At 40.1% G+C, this 13,741-nt stretch overlaps 1 long non-coding RNA gene across 1 annotated transcript in view; it reads right to left on the bottom strand.

Moving 5' to 3' along the window:
• LOC124903153 (uncharacterized) overlaps nt 1-13,197 on the bottom strand; it is a 51,749-nt gene extending 38,552 nt beyond the window's left edge. Inside the window, exon 1 of the long non-coding RNA XR_007063754.1 lies at nt 11,721-13,197. This is a non-coding gene — a long non-coding RNA (uncharacterized LOC124903153). The remainder of the gene's footprint in view (nt 1-11,720) is intronic.
• Nucleotides 13,198-13,741: the final 544 nt, after the last annotated feature.

Below are 13,741 nucleotides of genomic sequence, written 5' to 3'. Positions count from 1 at the left end.
CTTTAGCAGGGTCATGGAGGTGATCCATGTGAGCCTCACAAGGCTCAGTCATAAAAGGGTATGCCACTTCTGCCTGATTGAGTTGGAATGCTCTTTCTCATGAGGGCCTCTCTCAAAACATTCCTTCTTGGATCTGAGTTCCATGCTTTGAGAAGCCCAAGCCACGTACAGAGGCCACATGTAGCTGATTAATTCTCAAAGTCCCAGCTAAACTCATGTTCAGCCATCCCAGTGCAGGGGCCAGATATGTGAGTGAAAAGGTCTTGGAAGTGGATCCTCCAGCCCGCAGCCATGTGGGTCTTCCCAACTGAGGTTGTGAAGAAAATCTCCTTACTCAATATTTGATTTCTAAAGATGGCTTCTTGGTCCCCTTCTGAGGAAGTCTCACTAACTTCTATAAAGATGCATTTCCTTTCTTTGTGGATAAATTTCAACTCATTACGCTGAGTGAGGAAAGTCAAACTCAAAAGGGTGCATACATACACTATGCATGATTCCATCGATATGAAATTTTAGAGCTGGCACATTAATCTATGAGAAGAGAAATATGATCAGTGGTTGCTTGGAGAAGTGTTTGTGATTATCTGGGAAGGGTCACAAAGGTGATAAGGAGTTGGAAATAGCCTATATCTTGATAAGGACGTGTTTTAGTCCATTTTCTGTCGCTTATAATAGAACACCTGAAACTGGGTAATTTATAAAGAAAAGGAATTTCTTACAGTTATGAAAGCTGAGAAGTCCAAGGTCAAGGAGCCACATCTAGTAGGAGCCTCCTTGGTGGTGTGGACTCTGAAGTCCTGAGGTGATGCAGGGTATCACCAGGCAGTGGGGCTGAGCATGCTAACATGCTAGCCCAGGTCTCTCTTCTTCTTATAAAGCCGCCAGTCCAACTCCCATAATAACCCATTAATCCATTAATCCATGAATAGCTTCATCCATTCATGAGGGCAGAGTTCTGATGATTCAATCATCTCTTAAAGACCCCACCTCTCAATACTGCCACATTAGGGATTAAGTTTCCAACACATGAAATTTGGGGGACATATTCAAACCATGGCAGGCTGTACATTATATGGGGGGGGGGGTCTACATTTTTAAAATGGATCAAATTATATTTTTAAAATCAGCATATTTCACTGTAAGTAAATTATCCTTCAATTTTATACACTAAAAAGTATGTAATAGCCTGAAGTCTGAAGTATATAAAATATAAATGATTAGCTTTTATAAAAATACAGTTAGCTTGTAAAGAGTTGGGAGTTTACATGTTTCCTTCTGTTAGCACTGTGCCTATTGGATTATCAATGGAAATTATGATTTACTGAGATAATTAATAGCTAAGAAATACAAATATTATCCTTTAAAATTTTTTAAATATGTCACTTTGCTCTTCAATCATGAATATAATTCCTGTTCATTGTATAAATGTTAAAAAACATAAAACAGTTTAAAAGCAAAAAACATATGTGATCTCAGTCACAGCCTTTGGGATAAGCAAATGTCTATGTTTTCTTAGTATCAATCCAGAAAATTACAGGTGCAAATATTAGTGCAATGATACCACTACCTTCTTGCTATGTGCATATGTGTGAGTAGGGGGAGTGTATATTCAAAGATGTGTACATCAGCACAGCTCCGCAGCCCTGAGAATGCTGTCTAGTCAGGAAACTAATTTCACTCCATCCCACTGTGGTCTCTACTTCAAGGGCACTGATGATCATTTTATTATTTTGAATCTGACCCAATGAGCCTTAACTGAACTTCACATTTACCCAACAATTCAGGGTTGATAGGTTTTCGTGTCATCAGTTCCTCTTCCACAGAAGAAAAATAAAAACATTAAGCTATAATTTTAAGCATCTGGGGGATGAGAGTAAGGGTCAGGAATGACCTCATTGTATCTGGATGACTTCTCACACGTTTCCTGTTTGTTGACCACATCGGCTACTCAATTCAACACTACTGTGCCTTGGCCAACTTAATGTTGCATTGATCTTGATTTATGTGTCCTAACGGTCATTTATGCAGATCATTCAGATAAGAAAGAAAATAATAATTAGTGAGCCCAGACACAAATATTTGATTTTCTAAAATTTTTATAATTTACCTTACTGTAAGCCAGTAGCAACACCCTGCCTTAATGCCTGCTTGGTTTTTAAATATACACTCTGATATGATAAATACTGGGTCTACAATGTTAATACAAAGTAGATGTGAGTGTAAAGGGATGCTGCTGTGAGAACACTGATGACGGAAATAAAAATTACTATTATAATAAGATGTCACCCATGGCTAACAGGTTAATAAAACACATCTCTTCATTTCAAATTGCATAAAAGCAGAATTTACTTGGATCCTTCCTCAGAATACTAGCAAACAGAGAGCGGGAAACAACATACTGATTTTTAAAATCCTGAATGTGATTAATTGTCCAGCATGTCTATAGAAAATAAAAACCTTAGATTGCACCACTGCACTGCAGCCTGGGTGACAGAGCGAGACTCCGTCTCAAAAAAAAAAAAAGAAAAGAAAAGAAAAGAAAAGAAAAACCTCAGCCATTGCCCACTGATAGTAGAGGAAAAGTAAGATTTAAAAAAATGTTTAGGAAAAGATCCAGTAACCGTGTGCAATGAAATACGAAAAAAGAGAAGTTTGGGAATGCCAGATTCACCCTAAAATGCAGAAGAAGGCACTACCTGTTTCATTGATTGTCCTTTTTATGTGTAGTTCAGCTTCCATAAAATCCCTTTAAAATATACTAGATCTAACTGATCCCTCGTCTCTTATGAAAAGACCAATCCTTTAAACAAAGACTGCTCAGATTTCTTATTTGTAAAGCGCACTAATAATGCCTGCCCCATAGGATTGTGCTTAGAGCACATTAATAAATACAATTTATTCATAAAGTCTTTGTTGAGCCCTTCTGTATGTTTGTACTGTTCTCAGTCCTGAAGGTGTGGTGGTGAGCAAGGCAGATAAGATGCCATCTATATTCTAGAAAGGGTGGATCAGTGAGGAATGTGTTTGTCTGTGAGTAAAAGGATCCTCACCAAATAGTGGCTGCACAGCAGTGCTGGTCTAGAGTGCCTGTAGAGAGGCCTGCAGAGGGCTGTTGAGGTGGTGGCTAAGACCGGGGTGATGGCAGTGGAGATGTATAGGAAGTATATCATGGATTAGAGTCAATGGGACTTGCTGATGGACTGGATGCTGGGGATAAAAGGTAGAGAGGATTCACAACTGACTTTTAGATATTTGTCTTGATAATTAATCAAGAAGGAGAGAAGAAGGAGGAGGAGGAAGAGAAGAAGAAGGAAAAAGAGAAGGGAAAGGACAGGAAGAAGAAGGAGGAGGAGAATGTTGTGTTGTTTCATAGTTTAATGATATTTTATCATTTTAAAAGCATTTCCAACCTATAAAGGCACTCAAAATAATTCTGTAGGCAAATAAAACTGGTATCAAGTCAGGAAACCAGATAAATAGCATGCCTCCAATGTTGATGTAATGTAGGTATGTTTATACCACGTCCTGCAAATAGAATATTTGTAAAAAGCATCTAATTTAACTTTTACAACATCCTATGAAATGAAAATTAATAATCACATTATGAAGATAAATAAACTGAGGCTCAGATAGATTAATTCACTTGTTCAGACTTACATAGTGAGTTGGCCATATCAGGATTCTATCCTCGGTCTCCTTAATGTTCTGCCTTCTTTCCAATGACAAGCATGTAAATTCCTAAGAGCTTTTTTAAGCTCAATGATGGCATTACTTCCTTCTCTGAGTTAATAAAACCCATCCTCGGAAGGTTACCTGGGGGGAAGGTTGTTACCTTTGGCTGCTTAAAAAGGAGAGAGCAAGGCACTGAAAGAATGGGACATCCATTGAATGGGTCCACCTGGACAGAAGTGTGGTGGGAGAAGGGAAAGGCGGGGACATGAGCTTTAGGACACACTGGACCTAAGGCAGATCGAGACAGAACAAAGATGCTGAGAACCTGAGTGGGGGTGGGGCAGGAGCCAAGGAGTAGTTGTGTCCCCACAGGAAACCAGAGCAGCAACAACCGCTTCTTTTTATATCTCAGGTGAGCTCTGTTTCCATATATAACTAAACAGAAGACTTGGGGTCAAATATCTGAAATAGAGATATTTTAAACATTCCTAATATGCCTCTGTTCAGAACAACAAAAAAAAAAAAACAAAAAAAACTCTGCCTAAACTTTACATTCAGATATACCCAGGGCCACATGAAAGAAAGCATTTGTGTTGACTTTGCACTGCTCCTCTTGGGTAATACTGCTTTGCAGTCTGTTCCTCTTAGGTCATTCACAACCAAATAACGCCCCCCTCCTTTGTGGCTCCGGTTAAATTTCATATTTGCTTAAGAAAAACACAGAATCTTGGGAAATTTTAGCCTATTACAGACATTAAGGAGGAACAGTCTATCTGCTTCTTATTTCTCTTAAAACACACACAAACTGCAGTGTGGGCGGCCAATGTTACCCTGGTGATTTCCTTCCCTCTGTTCTCAGCTAAAATTGTGCAAAGCTAATATGAGCACCTGAGTTCTACAAGAGAGGACACAATTTAGAAAGGGAAGCTATTAGAGAGCAGGGGAAGGAATGGGGACTTCCATAGGCTGAATGCTAATCAGATTAAAATATGTGCAAGGAAATTATACTTATGCATTTTAATCTGAGGCAACTGAGCTGGTGCACATTTTCTTAGCTGAAAGGAATGGCGGAAATGAGCTCATTTGAGTAGTGTGGGGACAGTGGCCTCACTCTTGTCTTCCCGTGCAGTCCCCTTACGTTGCACAGTATCCTGCAGAATGATCATTTTTCTCCATCGTGGAAATAAGGTTGCTTAAAAGGGCCAGAAGGTACTGCTGATTCCAAGTCAAGCTGACTCAGACTGAAGGAGGAAAATGAAAAGTAAATGCAATTTCATTTCAGGTTTCTGAAAGCTATTTACAAATGAGAGCAAAAAACACCATAGAAATCATGACCAATGCAGTATGCAGTGTCCCCAAATAGATGATTAAGATGGAATGGAATCACTTAGTAACACCAACTGAATATTCATGGACTGTCAGGGAGCCAGCCTAGAGGAGGTGAGATGCTGCCAAGCCGAGCGGGCCTGTGTGTCCTGGAAGAGGAGGGGTCTCTCTGCCTCTCCTCTTGGGTAGTTAGTGGTGATGTTGGGCTCCCAGCTTTGAAGCTTCCTAATTCAGGCTTTGATTTGGAGGCTTTGCACTAGCCCCTAAAAGCATGAGCCTCTGCATTCCAGAAATCTGATGTCACCCAGGCACAGTTGTGTAGGGGCTTTTCTTTTGTGAACCTTCCTTGAGAAATCTGGCTGCTATACCTGGGAGGTAGGAGAGCTTTTCTATGCCTGTCTTCTCTGTGATGATGTGAAAGCTCCTAATTCCAAAAGATTTCATCTACCCAGTAATAGCTACCAACCCGCTTCCTTCTACTGTTCAACTTATTACTGTGTTTCCTTAACGCTGAGATGCACATTATTTTCCATTTTAAAACTCTGAAATTGAGGGTAGATCTTACAATTGATATTGCCAACTGATCTCTTGCAATCTATATTGTAGTATTTCTTTCCCACTCTTTTTCTCTAAACAGGGGCGATTGAATAAATACAGTATCCTAGTCAGGAAAAATGAAACTCTGCCTCCAGCCTCTAAAGGCCACAAAGAATGAAATTGACAGAAGTAAGTAGGAAGAGAGTGCCCAGGGCTGAACCCTGATGGTTCTGGGTCAAGTAGCCAAGACAAGTGGAGGTCAAAGAGATGTGGCCCTCAGACCTCTACCGGACGATCCATATGGGCTCTGCCAATCTGTGACCACATGGCAATTGTCTTAGAATAAGGGAATCAACCCAAATTTGTCCCTGTTCTTTCTATTGGTTTGTTTTAGCTTTTGCCATCATAGCTATACTAAAAGAATAAGGGTCTTTTTCTACACAAGAGTGGTGAGAAGAGCACTTCACCTGTTTACTTTTTAATGTCCCTTTTAAATACATGCCCCCAGATGTCTAATATGCACATTCTTCCTGCTGCATAATGTGCCTGAAGCACTGGGTTTGCCATGTGCCTCCCCAAAGCAGCCCAACATCCACATGCCCACCTCCCCATTGGCCAAGCAATGTCTGTGTCCTTCTGCCCCTTCTTTCAGGGCTCTGTTAAGTGATTAAAGCCACTTGGAGAAATAAATTTAGGCAAAAAGGTTAATGGATCATAGTATCTGCTTTACTCGGGTATTTGTATTTTAAAGGGTTCTTTAAGAAGTACAGCATCTTAATCAAAAATAATTGACTTTGAATTGAAGGATTTTTCAGGATGCAAGGAAGGATATTTAGGGCAAGAAGGATTTCAAGTACCCATCGAATCCTATCATGTGGGCACACACACACTCTGCCTGAGCCCAAATGGTCTGGGCATCAAGAAATTTAAAAAAGCTACTTCTTTGCTCCTGGCATTGTCATCACAGCTTTGGGGATCCTAATAAGAGAAGAGTTAAAAAAAAAAAAAAAAAAAGAAACCAGTTTTTCATTTGCAAACTGCTTACCAATTAGCTTTTTATGAACACTTTAGTCTTCTTTCATGATGACACAGGCTGAGGGTATTTACTCAATCTAACTTCTCCTCAGCTTAATGGGAGTATTTGACTAGTCTCTGTAACAGATTCACCAAAACAAACATTTATTCTGCTACTAAATGAGAGACACTCTGCCAGTCACTGGGAGAGATTAAGGAATGTATAAGACATGGTCATGCTTTTCAAGGCCTTACTATCTAGCTGGAGAGAAAAATTCATATGAGCCAGACGGAGAGCTAAATGACAGACTCAACACAATGACACACGGATGACACAATGGAAATGAATCAGCAAATGCAAGGTTGAGTATTTCAGGAGAAACAGTTTGCACAAAAAGCCCTTGGATGAGCTGAATCTGAAGGATGGTATTTGGGCCACCTGTTATCTTTATTCCCCTGGTGCCCTCATCTCCTTTGGAGAATTTTCCTCTTTCCATTCCATCTGGTTGTGGAGGCTGTGAGTCCCACATGGTATGATATCTGATTCAGCTTAGAGCAGTCAGAATTCTTCACCCCTCTGATATAAAGAACGGCTCCAGGTAAACACATGACTCAACCTGGGCCAGCTGGAGCCCTTCCCTGCATTGACTGATTCACAGGCAGGGAGGAGCTGTCCTCTTCTCTTAGGATCTCTAAACTGGGGGCTGTGAAGATGTTATTGTTAAATGACATTCCTCTCTCATGGAGAAAGCTTCCCTGCACAGTGAAGCTAAAATTCAGGAGAAAACAGAAATGAGAGAAGAAACAGGGATGTTCCTGACATCTTTTGAGCACTTACACGTAGGTCCACCTTCTAGTTTCACAGGCCAATAAATCCCCTCCGCATCTTATTCTTCAGACACTTCTATCCACCCCACTTCTGGAGCTCAGTTGTTTTCATGTTAGTCCACGTGATGTGGTCCCAAAGAATCACTAATGTTCGGTTCTGTTTTTTCCAGTCTTTCATCTCTGTGTTTAATTTTCTGTAGCTTCTATTGTTATGTATTCAAATTCACTGATCTTTTCTTCTGCAGTGTTTAATCTGCAAGAATCCCATCAAATTTTCTTTTCAGATACTTTTTTAATATTTTGAAGTCCTATTTGAATCTTTAAAAATATACATATTCCATTTATCCTCTCAACATGTTTGTCTTTTTCCCTATACCTTGAATATATGCAGCATATTTATAGTAGCTATTTTTAAATCCTTATGTGCTAATAATATCATATATGAAATTTCCAGGTTTGCTTCTTTTGAATGAACTTTTTTTCCAATTACAAATCATATTTTCCTACTTCTTTACATTCCTGGTAATCTTTATTAAGTGGTAAATCTTGTACATTTAATATTGTTGGACTTTGGCATACAGCTAATTTACCCGGGATCAAGTTTGATTCTTTCAGCATTTTCTTTTAAGCCTTAGTAGGGCAGGTCTAGAGTAGCCTTTTGTTTGGGGCTAATTTAGCCCAATTATTCAGGCAACATCTTCCTGAGTAGTCTACCTGATGCTCTGTATATTGTGAATCCTGTGTGAATTCTAGGAATTATTCTGTCTCCCAGCCTCACAGAGTCCTATACCTGTACTTGTACTTGATATTCAGCCTCACAGAGCCCTGTACCTGTACTTGATATTTAGCCTGATAAAGGAAAAACTTCGGCCGAATTAAATTTAAAATGGTTTAATTGAGCAATGAATGATTCGTGAATCGGGCAGCCTCCTGAGCCACAGCAGGCTCAGAGACTCCAGTGCAGCCACATGGTGAAAGATTTATGGACAGAAAAAGGAAACATACAGAAAATGGAAGTGAGGGACAGAAAAAGCCGGATTGGCTACAGCTCCACATTTGCCTTAGTTGAACATGATTTGAACAGTTAGCTACATTTGATTGGCCAAAACTTGGTGATTGGCACAAGTGTAGGGTACAGTCTGTTTACACTTCCACTTGTGATAGTTCACAGTGTACAGAGAAACCTTTAAGCCAAACTTAAAATATGTAAGGAGGCAGCTTTAGGCTAAACTTGATCTAAAAAGCCAAAGATTTCAGAGAACTCTGAAGATTTCCAGAGCATGTCCTCTCTCTTTCTCTGTGTATATGTGTGTGTGTAGCTTTCTCTGCTCTAGGATTCTGTAAATACTGAAAGTTCTAACTGCCTGGATTCTGAAGTCCACCTCCTCGACTCTGTAAGACCACTGGGCTTTGCTTGGGTTCCTACCCTGTGCTATGCATCGAAACTGCCTTCGAACCTGGACAATTACAGGACTCAGTACATTTACTTCCCTTCTCTTGGAGTCATGGTCCTACCTCTTGTTCAATGTTTGAAAGTTGTTATGCTCTATATTTTGTTTGGTTTTCTAGTTGGATATGGTGGAAGGCAAATCTCAGAGCACTTAATCTTTCATGGATAAAATCAGAACTCCCAAACTCTAACTTTTTATGTACTTTTTATCAAAACTTTTTTCTTGGCTGGGCACGGTGGCTCACGCCTGTAATCCCAGCACCTTGGGAGGCCAAGGCGGGCGGATCATGAGATCAGGAGATCGAGACCATCCTGGCTAACATGGTGAAACCCCATCTCTACTAAAAATACAAAAAATTAGCCGGGTGTGGTGGTGGGCGCCTGTAGTTCTAGCTACTCAGGAGGCTGAGGCAGGAGAATGGCGTGAACCCAGGAGGCGGAGCTTTCAGTGAGTGGAGATTGCACCACTGCACTCCAGCCTGGGTGACAGAGCGAGACTCTGTCTCAAAAAAAAACAAACAAACAAAAAAAAAAAAAAAAAAAAAAAAACCTTTTTTCTTCAGAAACAATCTATAATTTATACTTAGGAAAAAATAAGATCGTGCCCAAATATTAACTAGTTTATGCTTATCCCACCCGATTCCTTATTAATATGCCACATCTCCCCACTTTCCTACTTGAACTGATCTCAGGAGCCTCAAGTTATGAAACTTGGTTCATCTGTCAAATGGGGATAATAAAAGTATTCACAGTTTGTGGTGAAGATCAAATGAGATAAGTTATATAAAGCCTGGAATATAATAATTGTTCTGCAAAGGGCAACTATTAGTACTACTGAATGAATCACAGAAAGTGGAAATACTGATTTAGTTGAGTGAGATGGCAAGATTAGTGGGTCCATTTCCCTACAAATAAACACAGACAATAACACACAAACACATTTTCAGCATAGTTTCATTTGGTGACAACTTTTAGTCCAACAGGCCTTGTTAACTTCTTTACAAAAGTTCCTCAAGAGTTCAAAGGTTCATTGAAAATGCATACCATTCAGTATTTTATGTTCTATAAATCTAATTTTAAAATAATAATTAAAACTAAATATGAGTTGCATAATTGTTATTGAAAATTGATGCCATAAAAATAACCAGTTCTGGTCATCTGAGTCCTAGGGATGTCAGAGTCTCAGAAGAGAGAGCACGGGAGGAAGGAAGGGTTAGGTTGGTCTTGAAATTGAATGATAAATTACAAAATTTGCACATCTCCTAAATCCTGAAAACAGAAGTAATGAAACTTGGTGTCTGTCTTTTGTAAATATTAAAATGCATTAATTATCTGTGGAACATTTTGTTCTGGATTTTGATTTCAAGATACCATTGCTCTCATTTTGAAATAGCGTTCCCATCAGATATTTGTATTGCTAGATCACAAGTATTCCTCAGGAATATGATCGGTCTCTTTTAAATATTCAGGCCTTTTTATTCCTTTACAGAGCAAAGATTTACTAAGTATCTGTATATTCCAGATACTGTGCTCAGTTCTTTCACATGCTAGATTATTTATATTGTTTTCTTACAACATAGATAGTTATTGCCATTTTATAGTTGAGGAAATTGGGGCCAAGAGAGGGGTTATGCTTTACATAAAATCACACAGCTATTAAGTAAAATTTCTAGAGAAATAGGACTGAGCTATTTATCCTTAAGGAACCCTTTCCTTTAGTTTCAAAAATATCTATTAAAAAATGAGGATGATGCCTCAGTCTCAAAAAGACCATGAAAACACAGGCTATAGTGGCAGATGGATGCCTTTACCAACTGTAAGAGAAATGGGAATGATGCTGCCAGCCCCCGGTGAACTGAGATCAGTGAATTCACCCAGCATCTGATCCCAGGAAGACGACCTCAGGGGGTACTATATTGCTTCTTCAAGAAGACTTCTGAAATTTGTCCCAATGTCTAAGGAATTAAAATGTGCTTTAAAGAAAGGGTAAAATTGAAGCATTTTACTTCCTATTTTGCTTCTGTCTATTTGCTCAGGAATTTTCCATAGAGGCTTGAACAAATAATTTACTACAGGGTTTATATATTCATGCAAATAACATTATTTCTCTAGAAGACTACACTCTTTGTTCTTTCAGATGCTGGAATATTTCTGTTTCCTCTTGCAGTTGGTTTAAAAGGATTTCGATGCAAATACATGGCAGCAAATATTCTGTAGTCTTCCCAAGCTCTTCCTTATATACTGAGTAAGAAAAAAACTGTGCTCCTGAACTTGGGTTCCCTGTTGCTTCCAGCAGGTATAGGATTTGACACTGCCAGAGACAAAACAGCTGTGCAGCATGAGTTCCTGCCGGAGAGATATACAGTCTGCCTTCGGCCAAAGTGCTTTGAATTCACCGTGTGCTTTATGACCAGCTTTTCTGATTCTACTATTGTAAGTTGTGATTTCATCAGCTTTTGTTTTGTTTTGTTTTCCCTTTTGATTTAGTTGAGGGGAAAACTCTTTTATCCCCCTTGATATGGCTTAGCATCATGGTTTTTGGTACATTGAGGCAGTTTGAAGTAATAGCTGAAAAATTTCAGGTGTTGATGCCATCAGGGTGTTCTGAGAGGAACTGGTGAGGGAGCAGGCAGCCTGGAAATAGCCCTGCCCTGAAATCATCCCCCAGGACTGCGCCTTGGTTGCGTGAGCTGTGCTGGAGTGGAAGACCCCATTATGTGGGGAGTCCCTGTATCTGGAGGGACTCTCTGGCGGTAGACCTGTGACCAAAATCACTCAAAGTAGAAACACACAAACTTATGCCTTCTTTCTCTATTTGTCTTAGTCCATTTGTACTGTTTTAACAAACTATCAGAAACTAGGTAATTTATAAAGAACAGAAATTTATTCTCACAGTTCCAGAGGCTGGGAAATCCAAGATCAAGGTGCCAGTGGGTTTTGTGTCTGGCGAGGGTCCAGTCTCTGCTTCCAAGATGGCACCTGAACACTGTGTCCTAGCCTGGTGGAAGGTAAAAGAGCAAAGGTGGGAGAATGTTGTATCCTCACATGAAGGAACAGCAGGAGAGCAAAGAAGGTCCTACACTAGTTCCCTCCAGCCTTTTTATAATGCACTAATCCATTCATGAGGGCAGATGCCTCATGACTTAATCACCTCCCAAATGGCCTCATCTCTTAATACCACCACAGTGGGGATTAAGTTTCAGCATGAATTTTGAAGAGGACACATTCAAACCATAGCACTATTGTAGGAAGTCAGCAAATACATTTTTATAAAATAAGCACACATTTTTCTTTATCCTTTATAAATTCTGATTCTGCCTGTGCCATGATAAATGATGCCACTGATATCCTCATGGACTCCAATGGACTCACTTAGCCCACAGACAGACATCGTCTTTCTTCCTATGGTAGACTGTGGAGGCTGTGCTACAATAAGGAAATGGCCCATTGCTTTTTCTGTAAGTAGAGTGCAAGTGCCTTTCCTGAACCACTGTTGAATGAACATAATGTTCCTCTTACCACCCTAGCCATTCCTTTTCAGTCTCCTTTGCTGGTTCAGCCCCATCTCTCTGACCTCTAAATACAGGAGTGCTCCCAGGCTCGGTCTTTGGCCTTGTTTTCTTTTCTATCCACACTCATTGCATTGTTGACCTGATCCATCCTCAGGGCTCTGAAGACCACTTAAATAGTGATGCTTCACAGATTAGTATCTTTAGGAGGAAGCTTCTTCATGAATATCAGACTGATATGTTCAATTACTTACTCACATCTCCACTTGGACATCTAATTAACACCCAAACCCTAACATTTACAAAGCTAAGTTCCTGATATTTTCCCCAACCTTTGCTCCTGTAATCCTCTGCATCTCAGTAAAAGTCACACATATTCTTCTAGATGCTCAGGTCAAAAGTAGTTAAGACTGACACTATCTTTCTTGCACACCCCATATATTATAAGCCATCAGCAAATCCTGATAACTTAGTCTTCAAAATGTATCCACAACCTGAACACTTCTTACCAGCTCTACTGCTCCCACCTTAGTCAAGCAACCATCATCTCTCGCTTGAATAAGCATGCAGCCTCTTAGTTTATCTCCATGCTTTCATTTTTTGTCTATGTCATTTGTCCAAAACACAGCAACGAGGACAATCTTATTAAAAGGTCAACTAAATCATACCACTCCTTAGCTCAAGATCTTCTGATGGCTTCTGATCTCACGCAGAGTAACATCCAAAGCCCTTTCCATGAGCTAGAGGGTCCTACACGACCCGCTCTCTTTTCTCCCCATTGCACTTCTGACCTTTTCCCCTACTACTCCTGCTACCCTCTCCCTCTCCCTCTGTTCCAGTCCAATAGCCTGTCCTGCTATTTCCACTTCAGAGTCATTGCACTTGTCTTTCTCTCTGCCTGCAATGCTCTTCCCCAGATATCATAATGGCTCCAAGTCCTTGCCCGAAGGCTTCATTCACATGTCACCTCGCATGGGAATAAAGACCAACCAAATTAGAACAGGCCACAGCTGTTTACTCAGAGCTTGCTATAGCGATGGGGTCAGCCACCATCAACTTTGAGTTCTTCCATTTTGGCAAGAACTCAAAGGCATGCAGAGGAGTGGGAAAGCTTAGTAGTGGAAAAAAGGGAAGGCTTTCCGTACACCAGGATTGGAGGCTGTTGGTGTGGGGAAGCTGTAGGCAGGCTAACTAGGAGTGGGGCTCCCTATGGGATTGGTTAGAGCTGCATATTTGGCTTTCTCTGATTTGTCCTACATTGGAAGGGGGGACAAAAATCAGGAAAACTGTCAGTTATTAATCAAGTCCTAGCCACTTGGGGATGATTATTACAGAGGTTATTGTTCAGCTTCCTGAATTGTTATCAAAGATAGTAGTCTGACTTCTTATAAGTCTGACTCATAGG

The sequence above is a fragment of the Homo sapiens genome, chromosome 13, assembly GCF_000001405.40.
Source record: "Homo sapiens chromosome 13, GRCh38.p14 Primary Assembly".
Lineage (NCBI taxonomy): Eukaryota > Metazoa > Chordata > Mammalia > Primates > Hominidae > Homo > Homo sapiens.
This window is presented reverse-complemented; position numbering and strand designations above follow the sequence as displayed.